This window comes from Homo sapiens, chromosome 9 (assembly GCF_000001405.40).
Source record: "Homo sapiens chromosome 9, GRCh38.p14 Primary Assembly".
Taxonomy (NCBI): Eukaryota; Metazoa; Chordata; class Mammalia; order Primates; family Hominidae; genus Homo; species Homo sapiens.
This window is the reverse complement of record NC_000009.12, coordinates 114249980-114270669: the sequence shown is the minus strand read 5'-3', so window position 1 is coordinate 114270669 and position 20690 is coordinate 114249980. Positions and strand designations below refer to the sequence as shown.

Below are 20690 nucleotides of genomic sequence, written 5' to 3'. Positions count from 1 at the left end.
CTTTTCCTCTCTTCCCCCTCCCTGGGGCAGGACCCTGACCCATGGATCTCCAGGCAGTGGGACCCTGGGGGCCCTGGCACACAGTGGGTGCATGGTAGCCAGGGGCTGAGTTAGCAAATGAACAGGAAGGTTGAGGTGCCCACCCTCAGCTCTCCAGAAAAGGGGAGCAGACCCCCAAGCTACCGACAGCTCCCTCTGCAGGGTGACGTGGGGTGGGGGCTACATGAGGTCACGAATTTAGAAGGTGCTTGTCATGGATTTGTCCTGAACATCATCTCTAGGCTGGTTGGCTGGGCTGCAGAGTGGCCTAGTAGTTAAAGACAGGCTTTGACATCAGCCAGACGTCAATGCTACTTCTTGGTTTCTCATTCACTGGCTGTTTGACCGCAAGCAAACTACTTAGGTCTCATTGGCATCTGTTTTTTTATCTGAAAAATGGGGCTGACACCACCTTCTTCAAGGGTTGCTGTAAGGCATGGTGTAAGCGCCCCATACCTGGCAACCATGTGAGATACTATTACTGGAGCTGGAGTAAGCCTGCATGGAACTCCTTGGTGGAATCCTACTTCTCAGATGAGGAAAGGGAGGCCAGTCTTTCGACTTTTCTTCCCAGCAAGCTCGGGAATGACAGCAAGAACAGAGTCCCTGGCTGAACCTCAACCAGGCTTGCCCTTCCAGCTCTAGAGACGCCCCTGGACAACAGTTCTTGAAATGGCCATCAAATTAAGTTTGGGTCTCTCTCTGCTTTTAGAATTCATCGCTGTTCAGAGTCTGAGCTGGAAAGGGCCTCAGGGGCCGTCAGGTGCAGGATGGCAACGATGTGCCAGTTGGGTGGTCCATGCTCCTCTTGTACCCATGGCAGGTATCACTTATCAACCCGCTGGAATGCAAGCTCCAGAGACAGGCCTCCGTTACTCACTGCTGTGCTCCTTGTGCCTCGAGAAAAGTGCTCGACACACAGTGGGCATAGGATGCGTGCTCATCATTCTCTTTACTGCCGAGACTCGACTGAACCTCAACATCCTTCTTCTTCTTTTTTTTTTTTTTTTTTTTTTGAGATGGAGTCTTCCTCTGTCACCCGGGCTGGAGTGCAGTGGCATGATCTTGGCTCACCACAACCTCCAACTCCTGGGTCCAAGCGATTCTCCTGCCTCAGCCCCCCGAGTAGCTGGGACTACAGACCACAAAATGCCTTTCTCTACACTGTGGAAATGCTGGCCTACCAAGAGAGACTGGGCGAGGCTGTAGACATTCATAGTCTATTTCTGTAACTGAGGAAACTGAGGCTTAGGGAGATTGAGAAAAGCCGGTCTCTTCCCCTGCGGCACCCACACACCCTGGGGGCTTTCAGGAAGAATAAATTGCTTCAACTTACCCGTTGCCCAATGAGGCCCTGCTCCCCAGGAGTGCCCAGGGGTCCAAGGTCACCCTAGGAGAAGCCGAACAAAAGTCCTTGCGGGTGGGTAGGGCCAGCCCCAGCTCTCGACACCCCTTCCTGTTTCCACCAGCTCTGACTTTGGGGTGTGGGAGGAGGAGCTGGGGAAGGTCCTTCTTCCCAGGGACCACAGAGAAATCGTAAAACACCAACCAGAGCTCCTGTTCCAAGTAAGCCTTGTCCACGGACTTCTTCTCCCACGCCAGGACAGGAGGACAATTAGCACCAACACCATCATCCTATTAATAACTAACTGTACTGTTCTGTACTGTTCTAAGGACTTTTTTTGTTTGTTTTTTGAAACAGGGTCTCATTCTGTCGCCCAGACTGGAGTGCAGTGGGGTAATCACAGCTCACTGCAGCCTTGATCTCCCAGGCTCAAGTGATCCTCCCACCTTAGCCTCTCAAGTAGCTGGGACCACAGGCATGCGCCACCATGCCCGGCAGATTTTTAAATTTTTTGTAGAGATGGGGTCTCACTACGTTGCCCAGGCTGAGGACATCAGTTTTTATATTAACATATCTGACTTTCAAGACAGCCCTGCAAGGAAAGGCATTATTTTAGAGGTGAAGCATCAGAGGCATTGGGGGAGTTCGGTAAGGAGCCCAAGCTCTCGTGAGACTATTCAGTGACAGATTCATGATCCGAACCTGGGCAGTCTGGTTCCAGGAGCCTTGGATGCAGCAATGGCAATTATGTGACTTTATTCTTCCTTGAGAGACTTGAAGAGAAACCCAAACGAGGAGGAAGCCCTAAATGAGCCGGAATAAATGTCACCTGCCCCCTGCATAAAGGCCCTAAAAGGGTCTTTCTCATTGGAGAATTTTCAAGCTATGCTCCCTGCTGGTGTCTAGGGGCACAGGAGGAGGGCAGAGCTCTGAGCCCCCAGCCCTGCTCCAGTGGAAACAATCCCACTTCTATCAGTTTTCTACGTGGGGTGGTTTCTTCATTGGTGAATTTTCAAGCTATGCTCCCTGCTGGTGTCTAGGGGCACAGGAGGAGGGCAGAGCTCTGAGCCCCCAGCCCTGCTCCAGTGGAAACAATCCCACTTCTATCAGTTTTCTACGTGGGGTGGTTTTCTTCATTGGTGTTTGAGCAAGGGATTTTGGGACTAGGCCAAGTCTGGCAGCCCCCGGCCTGGTCCAACTCCCTCTTTGAATGACAGGGAGACTTAGGCATGGAAGGGGGTGACTGGACTCAAGTCTCACAGCCCCTCTGCGGGCTCCCCTGGGCCCTGCCTCAACAATGTCCACGGGCTAGCCAGCATCACTCATCAGCTCTGGGGCCTCCAAGGGGGAACAGCGTCCTCTTCCAACAGCAGAATGGGGAGGGGGCTCTCCCCAGAGTCCATGTATCAATGGGCACCTGTTTCTCAGCAGGTAATGAAGGGCACTGGCACCGAGCTGCAGATGGTATCGCATGAGGCCAGGAGGTACAGCCACCCCAGCATAGAGGCAGGGGCAGGTGCCCGAAAAAACATTACCTCGCAGAGGGCACTGGTGGGGGCTCCACATTCCACTCTGGCCCTAACCAGGCCCCACTCCCCAGCCAGGAGCACAGAGAACCCATTATCCCAGCCACAAGAAAGGCCCATTTCTCTTCCATGGAGAGGATGTGGCCACCATCTGGGAGCTGGTTTCAACAAGTCATTTTTCTCTTCTTTCATCCCACCTCACCTTCATCCCGGCTTCCCCAGGAAGGCCCGGTTCTCCCACTGCACCAGGCGGCCCCTGAAAGAAAACGCCATTGGTCCCTCCTAGAGCAAGAGCTGCCCCCTGGTTGTAAGCAAGGGGGTAACTGAGGCTCCAAGAGGGCAAGAGAACACCCAGGGTCACACAGTGCAAGAGATGCAGAGGTGGGAGCAGCTTGTAGCTTCTTGGAGCTTGGAGCTGGAACTAGGGGGCTGGGGGTGGGCCCAGGCTGGCTGAGCTTTGGGACTACCCAGAGGCTTCTAGAGCCTTCTCCCGCCCCACAAGTGTGGTTTACCACACTAGGAGCCCTTTGGCAAGCAGAGGGAAGAAAATTTCATGATTCACAAAAAGACGGGGGAGGAAGCCATTGGATGCTGTGTTTAGGGCCAAGTGATTCTAACCCTTCTCTCTACAGCTTAGCCAGCGTGAGGCGGGTGGGAAGCAGCCCTGAGTTATCACCGTGGGCATGGCTGCAGCCCTTGCATAAACCCTGGGGCTTGGTTTTTCCCTCTGGATAAGGCAGGGGTGTGCGAGGCTCCTTCCAAGTTCCTTGCTGCATGACCCTTGGGGGCTGGATGGACAGTCAAACCTCTGCTGGGGCAAAGTCCCAGCAAGGTCAAGGTTGGGAAGCATCCATGCTTCCAGTGATGCCCAAAGAGGCAATGCCAACCCCCACAAGGGTCCTGGTACCTCTGTGTCCCACCCAATGCCCCTGGACTAGGAGCCAGCTCCTCAACCTATGCCACCAGGATGGATCTACCCTCTCTGCCAGGGCGTCCACCCTTCTCTGAACTACACGGTACATGACCATCTCCCTGGGCCAGGACAGGGAATGGCAGAAAGAGGCTCCTGGGGAGGAGGGAAGGGAAGGGCTGATACATCCCCAGCAGCATCATGGGACGAATAAGGGTCTCTCACACTCACCTTGGGTCCCATCTCTCCTGGAGGCCCAATTGGCCCCTGGGGTCCCTGAGGGCCCTGGAAGACAGACAGACACACAGACAGTTGGGAGAGGTCAGCCTGGGCCCTCTTTGGGATCTGGAGGGGTGAATGAGGGAGCTGACCCCCAGAACTGGGGACTCTGAAGCACACCCCTAGTCCGCCCCAGCCACACCGAGGGTCCTGGTGTCTGCAGCCCCTCTTCATCACTGGTATCTGTCATACTCCCTCCAACACAGCTGCACACTCTCCTATCCACCCACCTAAAGCCCAGGGGGCCCTCCCTGATCAGAAACCTCCTAGCTCTTGAGTCTTGCTCATCTGTTGCCCCTGCCTGGAACGCTCTTCCACCTCGGATCCATGTCTGGAAACCCCCACCCCCAGCCAACCCACTGTTCAAAAGGGTGACTCCTTGGGCCTCAAGATGTGGGAATGCAGCAGCGGCCTTGAGGATGGGAGCCTCCTGTCCTCCCCTGCCCTGTGCAGGAGTCATCCTTCTAGCCCCCTGGAGATTCTGTCCTCTCTCTGCCATCTCTTGTAGCACCACTCTCCAGCCTCCTCATGGGGTTCCTGGACTGTCCCCCCACACCTGTCCTCCCAGGGACATCTTCTGGAAGGCAAGCTGATCGCCCTTTCTGCTTCAAGCCCTTCCATGGTTCCCTGTTGCCCTTGGGATAAAAAGCACAGTGTCCCCGTGGCCTTGGGCGACTGGAGCCTGCTGCCTCCTCCTGCCCTTTCTGAGGTCCCGCTTTCCACTTCAGCCATGCTGGACTCTGCAGTTCCCGGTCAGCTTGTTCGTTTACTCTTATCTTCACCTCCCTCCCTCCTGCCTTTCCCTGTGCCAAGCACTCCCTATACATTTTCGCATTTCATCTTCACAACAGAATGGCAAGGCAGAGACAATCACCCCCATTTTCCTGGCAAGAAAACAGGCTGGAGGCCAAGTGAGCTGAGCCTCAAACCCAGAGCTCCTGGCTTAGTGCTCGCCACCAACCCCAAGGCCTGGCCCACAGCGGGTTAGAGGCCAGGCATGGTCCCTTTCCAACCCTTCTCCTTATCTGACCACCTGGCCCACACCCCCAGGTGCCAGCGGCAAAGAAGCAGAAGAGGGAAGGAAAGGGCTCTTACCGGTTCTCCTGGGAGGCCCTTGGTGCCTGGGGGGCCTGAGGGACCCGGGATGCCCTGCAGAGACAAGGTAAAGGTGACCTTAGGCCCTCCATGGCCTTCTCTGCCCTGTCTTGATTTCAAGCAAGCCATCCTAGTGTATTTGGGTCCCCTCCTCCCACACCGGGTGACAGATGGGAAGGCTGAGACCCAGAGAAGAGAGGATGTGCTGGAGGAGCTTCAGTGCAGGGCAGGTGGGCAACCAGAACCTGCGGGGTTTCCACAGAAGGACAGGAACTTGGTAAAAGTGGTTATTATCAGCACCGCACCCGCCCCCCACCCCCATCAAAAGCCCCATGTAGAGAATTTCAAGAACTGGTGCTACTTACAGGAAAGCCTCTCGAGCCCAAGTGGCCTCGCTCACCAGCCACACCCTGGAAGCACATGTGGGGGTCATTACAGGCTCAGATCACAAAGCACGGAGCAGGGAGGGGGCCTGCAGCTGGCCTGCTTGGCCTTGGCCTGACATACCTGCTGTCCAGGCCGGCCCGGTCTGCCCTGGGGTCCTGGAGGGCCCTGTGGGAAGCAGAGCACGTGAAGGTGGGAGAGGGTGCTTGGGAGGACCGTTCCCCAAAAAGGGACCCCTCCACATGGGAGATAAAAGGAACCCGTTTGAGGCCACAGAGTCTGCCCCCTTTCCATGGTGCAGATGGGAAAACTAAGGCCTGACAAGGGGAGTGGCTCGCCACCGTCACCAGCTGCTCCAGGTGGAGAACCAAGGACCCCTTCCTAGGGATGGGGCTGCCAGAAGCAGTCTCAGCTGTCAGGGGCCTGGTGGGGTTTGGGGTCCGGGGAAAGGGTCTGAGGACGTGTATGATCTCCCTCCTCCTTTCTTGCTTTCTCTTTATTGGGCTTGCAGTGAGGGGTCAGGAGGAGTGGAAGGGCTAAGCTCTCAGAAAGAGCCCTGCAGCCTCCATGGGGCTCCCTTTGTTGTCCCTAAGGGGCATTGTTCTGAGGAGCTGTGAGCCTTGTTCACGATTCCTGACCCAGTGTCGGAGGAGTGAGGAAGGGCAGGTCCTAGGGGTCGGTACCTTCAGGCCCCTGGACCCTTGCTCCCCAGCTGGTCCGTCCGGTCCTCGGGGGCCCTGGAATAGGAAAAAGGGACTAGCACACCGGACAGCAGGGGTCTCCCTCGGGCGGAGAACCAGGAGGGCGGGGCTGCTCCAAGCCTGGGGCCTTCCCCTGCACAAGCTCCGGCCCCCTCCTCCTCCCACTTCCCACACACTCCCCACTGAGGTGGTCACCCTCGTGCAGCGCCTTCGAGACAGCTCTGCAGAGGCCGCAGCATGAGTAGACTCAGCTAGAGGCTGATGCTTCCAGAAGGGGGCTGGGGCACTAATGGCCCTGTTCAGAGAGACCTTGGGGGTCACCCAGCCAATCCATTTCACAGACGTGGAGACTGAGGGCCGCAATTGAGTTACACGTGGCCACGTCCACACGGCCAACTCTTCAGACTCTGCTGCCATGTGCCATTCCCAGAGCACACACGGGGCAGAAACAGCCCTCAGGGGAAACTGACAGAGCAGGACCTGGGAAGAACCTGCATGTCCTTCCCAGATGTGTGGAGCAGCCCCATCTCTAGCCAGACGTACAACGAATACAGCCCAGCTCACAGAGGAAGAGCCCATGAGGTGGGGGCAGGAACAGGGCAGGATTTTGCACGAGGGAGTGGGAGTCAGGCTACTGCTCCCTGGAGCCCTGGGCTCAGGCCTGACCCCTGACACAGGAGTCTTGGTCCCTGATTGCTGGGAGACCCCAGGGGCAGGTGGAGTCCACCCCCATCCCCCCTGCACAGATGGGAATACTAAGGCCCAGCCAAGGGAAGTGACTTAGCTAAGGTCCCTAACACATTAGCCGCTCTCATCCCCCATGTGGGCTCCACCCACTGCCCCACGTGTGTCCCCTCCAGGGCCGCTCCCACAGAGACGCAGATGGGCTGGGCTCTCCTGGAAAAAACCCGTGGAAAACAGAGCAGGCTGTGTTCTCTAGGGGGTCTCAAGCAGTCTGTGTTGGGAGGACAGGAGTGTCCTGTGGAGGAGGCCAGCCCATCCTGGCCCGGGAGCCCAGGGGATCAGCCCGCAATACTCCCCCAGATAAAAGGAACTGGGGAAGTGTCTAGGTGGGAGAGGATGGGGAATAAGAAAACTAAATGAAGAAAAATCATTTAAAAATCAAACAAGGAAGGCTGGGCACAGTGGCGGAAGGCTGGGCACAGTGGCTCACGCCTGTAATCCCAGCACTTTGGGAGGATGAGGTGGGCGGATCATGAGGTCAGGAGTTCAAGACCAGCCTGACCAACATGGTGAAACCCCATCTCTACTATAAATACAAAAATTAGCTAGGCATGGTGGTGTGTGCCTGTAGTCCCAGCTACTCAGGCGGCTGAAGTAGGAGAATTGCTTGAACCCAGGAGGCGGAGCTTGCAGTGAGCGGAGATCGCACCACTGCACTCCACCCTGGGCGACAGAGCGAGACTCCATCTCAAAAAAAAAAAAAAAAAATCAAACAAGGAAATTTTCAATGAATAATTGGGCCAACAAAGTGAAAATTCCACTTCTCAGCTGCCTGGAGCTCCCTATGCTTCAATCCCACACCGCAGCCTTAAAGAGCACCCCACTGATCAAATAATCCTGGAACAGGGAGCCACCGGGCAAGGCCAAGGCTCAGCTGGGAGACGCTGTCCTCAGCATCCCCAAGCCCAGGGCCTGGTGCCCATTGTGGGGTCCAGCCCTAGGCACCGGGCTGCTCAGGAAATGTGTCTGGGGACAAGTGACTGCTCCTCACTGAGACTCCATTTCTTTTTTCTGAAATGGGCACAAGAAATCTCTCCCTCAAGACAGGAGGCGATGCCCACAGGCAGCTCAGTGCCTGGCACGCAGAAAGTGCTTAAGAATGGCTAGTTCCATCCCTGCCAGGCTCTGCCAGGGGAGGGGGCAGCCTCCCCAGAGGCAGGGACACAGGAGTGGCTTGGGGAATCTGGGCTCAGTCCCTTCCTCAGGCAGTTCACACTATGCTGTGTAAAACCAGTTGAGAATTTTCAGATTCAAGCTGCAGTTTGATGAACCCCTAAACAAGCCATCTCTAGTGGGCATTACGGGGCTCAGGTGCTAGCCGTAGCCTGTTGCTGGTTTGCTGTGTGACCCCGAAAAGCCCCATCTCCTCTCTGGGCCTCAGTCTCAGGCTCACGTGGACACTGTCACACCACGTCATTAGGCTTAACACCCGTGATTCATGGGCACAGGCCTGGCGGAGCTGGAGCCACATGGGGTGGGGCCGTGTCAGGTCATGGGAGCTGGGACAGGGGCTGAGCTGATGGCAGACAACTGAACCCTCCTGAGGGATGATCTCTGGCTCTGGGCTCTGTCTCTCGCTGAGACATACACCTCCCTAGAAAGGGATAGCTCTGGGAGGGGAGTGGAGGCTCAGAGGTGTTGAGGGCTTGGCCTGAAGCCCATAGCACCTTGTTTATCCCAGGAATCAAAGGCTTTCTGGGAGAAAGCTTAAGTCATCAAATAATAATAGAGCAGTAGCAGCCACCGCAGGAGCAGTGAAAGCTGTTATCCTCCTTTCACAGGGACAGAAACAGGCTCAGGATGGTGGTGAACTTGCCTATGGTCACACAGCTAGGAAATGGAGGAGCCAGAATTTGAGACCAAGTCAGCTGGACATCCATTTTTTTCACCACTACCTGTCACTGTTTTTCAGAAATGGAGTGAGCTCCCCGTCACCGGGGGTATACAGGTCAGGACCCAGAGGATCCTGCCAGGAAGGCTGCACACTGGGGCCTGGTGTTGGAGAAGACAATATCTAAAATCCCTCTTATCTGAGAGAACTCACTATCCCAGCAGAGCACCAGAGAACCCGGGAGAAGCTGGCTTGGCTTAAGAGAGAGGAGGAGGCAGTAGTGGGGCCACCAGCCACCCTGTCTCCCCAGCCCCACAGGGCAGGGAGAGGGGCGAGAACAGCCGCACACTCTAACCCTTGCTCTGGGCCACTCAACAGTTCATCCCGCAGGTTCCCCAGTCCTGCTGCCTCCTTCCCTAAATGAACCTGGGCAGGCCCACCCCCGCCCCGCCTGCTGGAGGGAAGCTTGGGTTTCTATCAGAGCTACCTGTCTGCTCTCTTGTATCCGCTCCTCGAGGAAGATGTCTGCAGGCACGCTGGAGACTGCCCTCCAGCCAGGCCTGGGGATCAGGCTTGGTGGGGAGGAGCTCCTGCCTGGGACAGAAAATCTGGCCAACCACAGCTCTTGTGAAAAAGGGGCCGATGAACAAGCGGGAATGAGCACACACCATCACGTGCTGCCACCCTGCAGCAAGTTCAAGGTGCTCAGGCAGTGACTGAGTCCCCACAGCCAGCCCACCAGCTTTGTTCTGTTGCCAACCCGTTTTACGGAGGGGGAAGTGAAGGCTCAGGGATGGGAAATCAGTGGCCCAAGGTCTAAGATCCAAGAGGAAGAGCCTGGATTTGGGTAAGGTCTGCTAAGCTCTAACACCCACAGGCAGGGGAAGAGTTGGCCCGAGGCATTGGAATCTTGGGGTCCTTACGACCCCCTCGGAAGGAGGAATTAAAGTCTCTAACCTGAGCAGGTGGGAGAAAGGCTCTGAGAGGTTAAGAAACCGGCCTGGGGTTCCACAGCTGGGAACCGGGGGTGCTGAGACTTGCCGTAGGCCCATCTGACCCCAGAGTCCTCATTCTTTTCACTGGGGCTGGTGGGCCCAGGTTCTAGTCAGCGTCCTCACCAAGAACAGAGGATGAGAGCCTCCCTTGCCCCTGGCCATCAACTCTCAGTGCTCATTCTTCCTTGGGTGGGCGGTGGGGTGGGGAGCAGGGCCCGTCCTACACATAGGCAGGAAAGCAGGCAAGGCCTTTCAGACCTCCAGGCCCATTCCCCGTGGCACATATGGGGAAACTGAGGCACAGAGCGCCACAAGGCCTTGCTAAGGGCACAGGGCAAACCGGGAGCTGATCAGGACTTGCCCAGAATCAAGCTCTTTCACAGGCACGGTGGGTGCCTCTGTAGGTTCCCCACCTTCAGTCACCTCCTCTAGGAGGTGGCGAAGGGCAGCCTGTTTGGCAGGAGACCCAGGGGGCCGATCTCATAGGTTGTGCATTCCTGACAAACCCAGTGGGGAGAGGGGCTCATGTTCCTGATGCTCCCCTCCCAGCCCGGGAGACACTGACGAGGTTGGAAGCCTGTGTTTCCCTAAGCAGGAATACGTTCTTCAAGCCACTGCTGGGAAGGGGTGGTGGAGATGGTTGAAGGGAGCCCAGTGAGTTGAAGGGGGCCTGAGCCCCGCGCCTGAGGCAGGGCAGGGGGCCTGGGCCCATGCAGCTCACCCTCCAGGAAATCCAGCTTCCTGGGGCAGGAGGGGAGGTACAGAGGATCCGGATGGAGCCTGGCTGCCCTTGGCCCAAGGCCCATTTGAAGAGACCCCCCCCCCACCCAGAGGACATGGGCACCGGAGGGACCCTGCTGGGCCACAGGAATGCCTTTTAATCTTCCCTCTTCCAGGCCGGCTGCTCAGGCCATCTGGTTTGGGGGAAATTGTAAAACCACTTGAAATCCAGCCAAGAGGAGAATAATAATCACAGATCCCCCCGTATGGAGCTTGGATATCAGGCCTGGGCTGCCGGCACCACCTGCACCATCTCACTTTCTCTTTACAATAAGGCTGCACGGCCCCACGCCTGTATACCTATTGCTGGCAGACCATCCTGTCAACCCTCCCTGTGTGATTGAAAATAAGGCTGAATTCAGTATGCAAATGAGCCAGATTCCCTGGGTTCAAATCCCAGCTCTGCCACTTTTTAGCTGTGCAACTTGAGGTAAGTGACTCAACCTTTCTGTGCCTCTCTGGGAGTGGAGTGGAGGCTCAGAGGTGTTCAGGGCTTGGGCTGAATCACATAGCACCTAGTTTATCCCAGGAATCAAAGGCTTTCTGGGAGAAAGGTTAAGTAATCCAATAATAAAATAATAATAAAATGGGAATGAGAATAGCACCTTCATGACAGGGTAGTGTTGAGGATTAAATGAGTTAATGTGTGTGACAGGCAGTATCTGGCATAGATTAAGTGCTGGCGATTACTTCCAGTGACTGCTCAGGGAAGCCTTGTTTAAAACCCCCTGCAGCCTCCCAATGCCCTTGGAGTATAGCTGTGGCTTTTGAGGCCCTGCCTCGCTTGGTGCCTGCTAAGTCCCAGCCCCATCCCTCTCCCTCGTCCCTCTTTTGACCCTGAGGATACCTAAGCATCCACCTCCTGTATCACCTTCAGGTCTTCCCCTGCCAGTCCCCTGCCAGGAAGCTGGCATCAACTCAAGCACTGCCCTCTCCTAAAGTCCTTCCTTAGTACCCTGCCCAGGTAGGGTCCTCCTCTGGGCTTCCAGGCTGCTAATACTTCCTCAGTCCATGTGCTGATGACCCTGTATTTTATCACCTGCATCTGCCAAGTGGTTTGATTCACTTGTTGACTGGCTCACAAGGGCAGGCAGGGGTTATGTCTGTCCTGTTCACCACTATACCTGTAGAGCCTCCAACAGTGTCCGCCAGACAGTAGGTGCTAAATAAGTGCTGGTTGAATAAATGAATGAACAAAGAACTAGTACCGGAGAGCCCGACTGTGCCTGGTGGATAGCAAGGCTGAGAAATGAGTTGGAAAGAGGGGTGGGGTCCCACCCCTAGAGACAGGTCCAGGGTGAGCCTAGAACCTTGCCTTGTGCTATGAAAGTCACAGATCCCAGAGCTGGGCTAGGGGCAAAGCCCAGGCAGTCTCTGGCAGATGGCCCTGTTCCAAGTGTGCCCCCTCCCACCAGCATCAGCCCCCAGGAGCTGGGCTCGACTTACCCGACGTCCCTTTGCTCCCCTCATGCCTGGTGGGCCTCGAGATCCTGGAGGACCCTGGGAAGAGGAGAAAGAGTTTGGAGAGGCCCCTTTTTAGGAAGTGAGAGCAACACGGGGGGCTGGGAGTGTGGGGCAAAGCTTGAAGGCCTGCAGCCCTCAGACGGGCATGTTCAGAAGCTGCCGGGGCCCCAGCAGCCTCCACATGGAAGGACTGGGCACCTGGCTCACTGGGGAAAGCAGCAGGCGAGCCACAGCCTCGAACACAGCCAATGCCCTGGGCTATAGGGGGATGGGCCTCGACCTTTCCTGGGAGTCTGGGGAGTGGGGATAAGGCCCCCTGCATGACATTTTCTTCTCCTTTTCCTCAAAATCAACAATGAGAAGATACGATGCCATTCATTCATTCATTTATGTATTTATTGAGAGAGGATCTCGCTCTGTGGCCTGGGCTGGAGTGCAGTGCAGCCTTGAGCTCCGGGCTCAAGTGATCCCCCCGCCTCAGCCTCCTGAGTAGCTAGGATTGCAGGCATGCACCATCATGCCCAGCTAATTTTCTTATTTTTGTGGAGACAGGGTCTCACTATCTTGACCAGCCTGATCTCAAACTCCTAGGCTCAAGTGATCCTCCTGCCTCAGCCTCCCAAATTGCTGGGATTACAGGTGTGAGCCACTGCATCCAGACTACAATGACATGTATGACAAAAGGTCTCCTCAAATCCTCATCTCCCTTTTTCTCCCCCACCAGAAAGGAGAATCTGGTGACCCAAGTTCTGTCCCTCACCTCCACCCTGACACCCAATATTTTCCTGAATATTTTCTCCCAGGGAAAAGAGGAGGAGGAAGAACTGAGAACACAGGCCTGGGGTGAGCTTGGGAGGCGGAGAGGGCAGAGTGGGAGAGGATCAAGAAAGAGAGAAGGAGAGGGGAGGCAGAGGCAGAGAAGTGGGTGGGGTGGCATGAGAAGGGAGCAAGGCCCAGCCCCGGGCAAATGGGCAGCCATCTTGGTTTTGATGAACAGACGACAAGAGGGGCAAGAGAGACAGGGTGAGAGGGCCAGTTTAGTTCTTGGAATTCTCGGCACCTGGCCTGGCACAGGTGCACGACAGACACTCAGGAATCTGCTGAATGAACAAGGAGCACATGAACTGAAGAGGGCAGAGGGTGGGAACGGAGGGAACACAGGAGAAGATGGGAAGCAGGCCACCCCTCTGCCTAATGTCTCCCCCGCCCCCACCCCGATTCCAGGCCCAGCTTGAGAGACCTCAAGCAGCAACTTCATCCACCGGCCAGCCAGGACCCTCTGCCAGCTCCAGGAGCCTCCCAGCTCCGCAGCAATTCTCAGACTGGGCGTGCTCCTTTTGCAAGGCAGAGCCAGTCTCATCCCTCCTCTGAATACCAGGGAGAGGCCCAGCCCCATCTGGTGCCTCAGAGCGAACTCTTGACTTTCCCATTTCCCTTTCCCCATGGCTTTGAGGGGTGTGAACCCAGCCGCTATCACCCAGCAGACCCTCCAACAGCTGCTGTGGAGGGGCTGATGTGAGGGGCTGGGTCCCAGGCTGACCCTTCGTCAGTAGAGCAAGCAGGGTGTGGACCCGGGCTTGGCCCCATAAAAGGCAGTTCTGACTCCCGGATGGTGGAGAACAGAAAGACTGGGTGAGAATGGGCCATTTTATAGAGTGATCTCAGAGCTCAGAAGGCATGCAATGCACCGCTGGGAAATTTCGGGAGCCAAGTCTCTACATCAAGGCATAGAGTGCTGAAAAGAGCAGGCTGTAGCACTGGAGAACCCGGGCTCACATGCCAGTTTGGCCACTTACTAATTGTGCCATCTTAGGCACGTTACTTCAACTCACTGGGCCTCAGTTTTGTCATCTATAACATGGGGATAGAAGAGTCCTTACCCCCTAGAGTTTCTAGAAGGTGAAGTGACAAAGTCCTCAGGAAAAGGTAGCTGCCTGCTCTCGCAAGGCAGGAGGAGGTCAGAATTGAATGCTAGACCCAACTCTGGTCACTGGGTGACCCTAGGCAGGTCCCAGGGCGACCCTAGGCAGGTCCCAGGGCCTCACTCCCACCCCCAATAATGGGGATAATAATCTTTTTTTGTTGAGATGGAGTCTTGCTCTGTCGCCCAGGCTGGAGTGCAGTGGCGCTATCTTGGCTCACTGCAAGCTCCGCCTCCCAGGTTCACACCATTCTCCTGCCTCAGCCTCCCGAGTAGCTGGGACTACAGGTGCCCGCCGCCATGCCCGGCTAATTTTTTTCTGTTTTTTAGTAGAGACGGGGTTTCACCGTGTTAGCCAGGCTGGTCTTGATCTCCTGACCTCGTGATCCGCCAGCCTCGGCCTCCCAAAGTGCTGGGATTACAGGCATGAGCCATTGCACCTGGCCTGGGGATAATAATCTTGATAGATCTCAATGTGCTATCGGACAACATGGAGGTGAAAGTGATTGATAAAGTGGGAAAATGCCAATCAGGTGTGAACAATATCACCAGAAATGTCACTTTTAATCGTAGTAGCCTTACTCATAATAGTGGCAATGATCATCTCTAACAAATAGTTATCACCATTCATGAAGCACACAGTTATGCAGGAGGGCTGTGAGACACCACATCATGCACTGCACCATTTCCGATGACAATCTCATACTCCAGGTGGCATCATGCTGACTTACAGATGGGGAAACTGAGGGTCGGAGAAGCTATGAATGTTGCCAACAATCCCGCAGCCGGCAAGTCGGGGAGCCAGAATTTCACCCCCATGTATCTGATTCTGAAGGTGGTTTTCTGGGCCTCCGAGCTAGCCGGCTTCCCCAGTGTCGCTGGCCAGGAGGAACCCCAAGAGATCCAAGGGACCAGCCCTGTACCGTAGCAGTGGGGGACCATGGCAACCTTGGGATCAGAAACAGCAGTAAGTGACCGTCTGATTTCACCAAGCCTGAGCCAACCCACTGAAGAGGGGGAAGCACTGAGGAGATGGGGTGGGGTGGGGAGGTGAGTGGAGCCAGGGAGGCAAGGGATTCAGAGGAGGCTTGCACCTTCTTCTCTGTATTGGCCTGAATATCCCCACTCTTTCCCCATCTCCCGCTGGCCTTCCATTGTGTCCCAGTGACTCCTTTCCTGGCTTTCCTCCTCCCACTAGACAGATGGGGAGACAGGCCCAGGACGGCTGAGGTGCAGGGGTGCCAGGGATAGAACTCGATGATGTACCCCCAGCATCCTTGTACTCAGGCTTCGGCCCTACTCTGGGCACCCCCCATGCTGAGGGCTCCAATCACTCTATCTCTGACCACTGGGAGGGAGGCCGGGCCCTTGCATTCCAAGCTGGGTGCCTCGGCCAGCCGTGCTAGCCCCCTGACCAGAATGCTGGTCCTCTGACCCCCTGCTTCTACCCCAACAGTCCTACTTCCACACTGCCAGCTCCTCCAGCCCTGGGCCAGATGTGACTTTTCCTCCTTCTCATGAAAAGGGCAAAAATATGTCACTGGGAGCCCAGAGTGCTGGCTTCTGCTTCCAACTGTGCTCCTCAAGAACGTTCCAACTTGTCCAAAGAATCATGAGGATGGACAGAGACCCCTGGTGCTGATGCCTTCTCCTCTGGGTGACGGTCACCTATATCCAGGCCTCTCACCCTTGGACTAGTCCACCCCTCTACCTCCTCGGCCCCTGGCATGGCCTGGCACAGAGTAGGTGCTCGATAAAAGTCTGTTAATGATGGAGAGAATGTTTATACTTGACAGCCCCACCAGACAGTGAGAGTCTTAAGAGCTGGAACTCTTTCTTACCATTTTTGTACCTCCAGGGAGGAGCTTATGCTAGCACACAGCAGGTGCATGAAAAAGTGTAGGAGCTGAGTTGGCCTTGCTTCCCTAATCACAGTAGAGAACAGGTTTATGCGAGCTTCCCCTGGGTTCAAACCATGAAAGGCTTCAGGGCCCTTCCTCATCAGACCCCAGGGAACTCCTCAGTCTGGACTTTGGAGACACCCAGGCAACCTGAGCTCATCGCCCCTCAGCCCTACCTCCGGATCTGTGCCTGGGCTGGTCCCTCTACCCCCACACCCTCCCCAACTTCCCCAAGCCCACCTCGGACTGGGCTCCCAGCCCTGACCCCTGGCTTTGGCTGAAGCGAGTGCCCTTTCCTAGTTTCCATCCTCCATTGGCAGAAACAGGGATCTGAAGCAAGTTCTACCTGCTCCAAATGAGAGCAAGCCCACCCCCACCCCCTGCACATCATCACCCCTGGGAAGGAGAAGGGGCTCTTGAACTTGAGTGCTCCTGGCCGCACCCTTCCCCCAGCTCTCCCAGCCTCTCCCACCACTCTGCCTTGAGAGCCTCCCACCAACCCTGCTTCCTCAGTCATCATGAGAAGCCCAGGCCCCTGAGGACCCTCAGCCCTGTTTGTCCAGCATTTCCCATCTTTGTGCCTGCTCTTCCAGAACAGACATCACTTACTGGGTTCTATCTACCCTGCCCCCCCATACCAGACTACATGCTCCAAAGGAAGGGACCACTTTCTACCTTTCTTGCTGCCACATCCCCAGCTCCTGGAACTGCCAAAACCCCATCTCTACTAAAAATACAAAAATTAGCTGGGTGTGGTGGCACACGCTTGTGATCCCAGCTACTAGGGAGGCTGAGGCACGAGAATCTCTTGAACCCAGGAGGTGGAGGTTGCAGTGAGTGGAGATTGGGCCCCTTCACCCAGCTCCTGAAACTGCCCACAAGCACTTATCGCTCAGTAACTACAGAGTGAATGAGTGAATGGACAAAAGCAATAATGCTGCTAATAACCAAAATGCTTCCAGGGAACAAACACCATTCTGTAATGAACATTAGCCCCACGCTTCCATTTAACCCACACGATCACACTATCCTGACCATGATTCTTTTTTCTGTTTTTCAAATGAGCAAAATTCAGGCTTGGAGAAGTTAAATGATCTGCCCCAGGAATACAGTCAGATCTGCCCCAGGATTATAGTCAGAAAGTGGTGTAGCTGGGATTCTACCCAGGTCTGTCTGATTCTGAGGCTTGAACTCCTAACCCTTATTCTTTTTCTCCTCTTCTCTTCTCTTCTGTTCTTCTGTTCTTCCTTCCTTCCTTCATTCCTTCCTTTCTTTTCTTTTCCTTTCTTTCCTTTCTTCCTCCCCTCCCGCCCTCCCTCCCTCCTCTTTTTTCTCCTCTTCTTTCTGTCTTTTTTCCTCTTTCTTTTTTCTTTCTTTCTTTCGTCTTTCTTTCTTCCTCCACTCCCTTCTTTCTTTCTCCCCTCCCTTCCTCTCTCTTTCTTTCTTTCTTTCTTTCTTTTTCTCTGTCTCTTTCTTTCTTTTCCTTTCTTTTTTTTGAGACAGGGTCTAGCTCTATCACCCAGGCAGAGTGCAGTGGCACGATCTTGGCTCACTGCAACCTCTGCCTTCTGGGTTCAAGCGATTCTCATGCCTCAGCCTACTGAGTATCTGGGATTACAAGTGCGTGTCACCACGCCCAGCGAATTTTTGTATTTTCCGTAGAGACAAGGTTTTGGTATGTTTGTCAGGCTGGTCTTGAACTCTGGCCTCAAGTGATCGGCCTCCCGAAGTGCTGAGATTACAGGTGTGAGCCACCACACCCAGCCACCTAACCCTTATCTGACAGTGGTTTGAGCTTAGGGATCACGAGGGCTTTGCTTACCTGGGGTCCAGGCTCTCCAGGGGTCCCCATACCACCTGGCATTCCAGGATGACCCTGCCAAGACAGAGAAGACAAAGGAGGAATCAGCTATGGAAGCTTCCTCCTTCAGTCCCACCTCGGTCGGCTCAGCCCCAGTGCAAAGCCAGGAGGACAGCAGCTAGGCCCCCTGGACAAAGAGGGAGCTGGTCATTCTGAACGTCTGGGGTAAGCGGTTCATGGAGGAGAGCAGAGCTGTCACTCAAGGCTGCAACAGGAGAGGGCAAGAGGATGCAGACTTACTCCTTACCATCGACCCCTTGGGTCCAGGCACGCCTGGGGGTCCCATCATGCCACGATCACCCTGTGATGGAGACAGCAATGCAGGCAGGTCACGGCTATGGCTGTGGGGTGGCTCTGTGGGAGGCAGGTGCAGAGGGCCATCCAGAGGCTCAAAGAGAGGTAGGGGTTTGCTCAAGGTCTCTAGAGGGTCCCTGCCTAGTTCATGGCCACATCACCCAGGTGGGGATCTGGGATTTCACTCAGAGGAAGCCAAGACCTCTGGCAAGCCCTGGAAGGCCTCAGCATCCCCTGTAGTGGGCCACGCAGTGAATTTCCCTCCAAGGATGGTCCTGATTAAGGAAGCACTAATTACACTGTCCCCTTTGATCCTGGCCCACATCATGTTGGTCCTTATTAGGCCTGGCATCCCCTGGGCTAGGCTTGCTGAGGCAGAAACAGCAAGAGAAGGCATGTCTTTCACTCTCCAAACTCCCTGTCCAAACCTAGATGAGATGCTAGAGAATCAGAGACATAACTCATTCCCTCTCGACCAATCCAGACACACTGGGCAGAGTTGGCAGTGTAGCAGACAGCTCCAGCCAGAAGGTAGGTGCTCTGGGTTCGAATCTTGGCTCTGTTTTCGTGAGGCTCTGTTTCTTGTATCCACCCAGCCAGCAAATATCTATTGAGCACCTACTATGTGTCTGACACTATCTGCGAGACTCTGAATATACAATGGTGAGCAGCCCTGCTCCCATGGAGCAAGGCACTCAGAGGGTTGTAGGAGACACAGTGCAGTGAGGGTGGGGGTCATGGTGCTAAGGTGTTATTATTGGAGGACTTGACCCACTTGGGGGCAGAGCCGGTCAGGGAAAGCTTCCCTCGGGAAGTCCCTCTTGACCCAAGAGCTGAAGGATAATGAAGAGCATCTGGGCAGAAAGGGTGGAGGCAGATGGCAATGGGAAGAAAGCATTTGGCTAAGGGAATGGCGCAGTCAATGGTTTGTAGGTGAGAAGGGACATGGGTCATTTGAGCAACAGCAGAAGCCCAGAGTTGGCTTTGATGTTGTGCTATCATTATGTAAGATGCTACCACTGGAAGAAACAGGGTGAAGGGTACTATTTTTTGCAACTTCTTGTGAATCTGTCATTATTTCAAAATAAAAAGTTAAATTTAAAATTTCAAGATAAAAAGCTGAATTTAAAAGGAGGAGGAGCAGAAGGGGAAGGAGGAGGAGGGGGAAGCGAGGGAGGAGGAGGAGGAGGAAGGCAGAGGCCCGAGGGTCTGGGCCACATAGAGTGATAGAGTGTGGCACAAGAGGATCCTGGAGAGTTAGGCGGGGCCAGACTTGCGGGGGATACTTCCTCCCTCTGGACCTCAGTTCCTCCATCTATTCAATGGGAATAATATTGGTTCTCCCAGAGGGCCTGCTCTGGGGATCGGATAAACCCATACAAAGGAAGACAAGTGCCTCCAAGGCCCTTGGTGGGAGCTGGGAGCCAACATGAGGCAGAGTGTCTTAGTGAGCAAAGTGTAGCTAACCTTTGGCAATGAACCTGGTTCAAATCTCAGCACTGCCACTTATTATCTGGGTGACCTGGAGTAAGTCACCTCCCCTATTTGAGCCTCTGTTATCTCATCTAAAACAGAGGCTTAGCAAGGCAACCTCATCTTTCCTCTTTGTAAAGATGAGTCTTTTCCTCCCTGCTCTCGCCGACCCCTGTGCAGGGCCAGTAGGCAGCTGTGAGGAGCCCAGGTCACATGCATCTGCTGGTTGTCACACAAAAGTCTAACTGTGCTTGAGGCTGATGACAGTAGGGCAGGGATAGAACCCCAAGGGATGCCAGGAAAGGGAACAATGTCTCTTGGCAGACTCAGAATGCCAGGTCAGGAGAGAGGCTAGGGGAGGGTATTCTGAAATCCCCAGGTCAAAGGGCCTCTTCACCTTTTTACAATTTCAAAACACAAGCTCTAATTGTTTATCTTTTCCCCTCAACACCACTTACCTTTTCTCCCACGATTCCTGGCTCCCCGACCAGACCAATGAATCCCATAAATCCCTATGAGACACATTCCCGAAAGCAAGAGAAACAACGTGAATCCGGGGACCCAGCCCTCCCGCTCCTTCCCCTGAAGCTCATCTCCCAGGTGTCTCCCACCCGTGCCTGGTCACCCAGCCAGCATGGGGTTGTGCCGGGGAGAGCGCTGCCTCTCTCTGGGCACCGTTCTGACTTCCCTCACTCCACCAGATGGTTCTGATTTTGAAGCCAAGCAGCGGGGCCGCTGCCAACATCCCTGGGAGCGCCACACATTCTTCCCGCGCCAGAAGCAGGCTGGGAGGCTGCCACGTTTGGAGAGCTGGGGTTGGGCGGGGGGTGGCTTAAGCTGAGCTGGGAAGAGGCCATCTGTGCCCATCTTTCGGGGCTCTGGGGCTGTTTCAAAGAGTGAAACAAACCCGCTGGCTGGGACAGAAATACCGTAACAGCCTCCGCCAAGAGAACTGATTGGAATCGGGGAGGCGGAGGCCTCTTTACTGTCTTCTGAAAGGCCTCCTTGCCTTTTTCTGAAAGGGTGCACACACAGACACACGCTGCAGCTCCTGCTGCTCTGCTGAACTCCGCTGGGTGACAACTTGCCTCTGGGTTCCAGGGGGTTCTTCTAGGTGGCCCCAGTCCTTGCCGTCTCCCTGAGCAAG

At 55.1% G+C, this 20690-nt stretch overlaps 1 protein-coding gene across 15 annotated transcripts in view; it reads right to left on the bottom strand.

Moving 5' to 3' along the window:
* Positions 1-20690, bottom strand: part of COL27A1 (collagen type XXVII alpha 1 chain) — a 158414-nt gene that overhangs the window by 41842 nt on the left and 95882 nt on the right. For 11 of the 15 annotated variants that reach the window (XR_929860.4, XM_011519138.3, XM_047423992.1 and 8 more), the window contains 11 exons: positions 20002-20055; positions 18024-18077; positions 17738-17791; positions 12076-12129; positions 6262-6315; positions 5702-5746; positions 5560-5604; positions 5195-5248; positions 4052-4105; positions 3113-3166; positions 1376-1429 (listed from right to left, as the gene is read on the bottom strand). Coding sequence is in view for 14 of the 15 variants with exons in the window: in XM_011519138.3 (XP_011517440.1) it covers positions 1376-1429; positions 3113-3166; positions 4052-4105; positions 5195-5248; positions 5560-5604; positions 5702-5746; positions 6262-6315; positions 12076-12129; positions 17738-17791; positions 18024-18077; positions 20002-20055 (576 nt within the window). In the remaining variant the exon portion in view is untranslated. Of the gene's footprint in view, positions 1-1375; positions 1430-1588; positions 1627-3112; positions 3167-4051; positions 4106-5188; positions 5249-5559; positions 5605-5701; positions 5747-6261; positions 6316-12075; positions 12130-17737; positions 17792-18016; positions 18078-20001; positions 20056-20690 lie in introns of those variants that run through there. The other 4 variants (XM_017015239.2, XM_011519140.2, XM_047423994.1 and 1 more) reach the window with 4 other exon arrangements.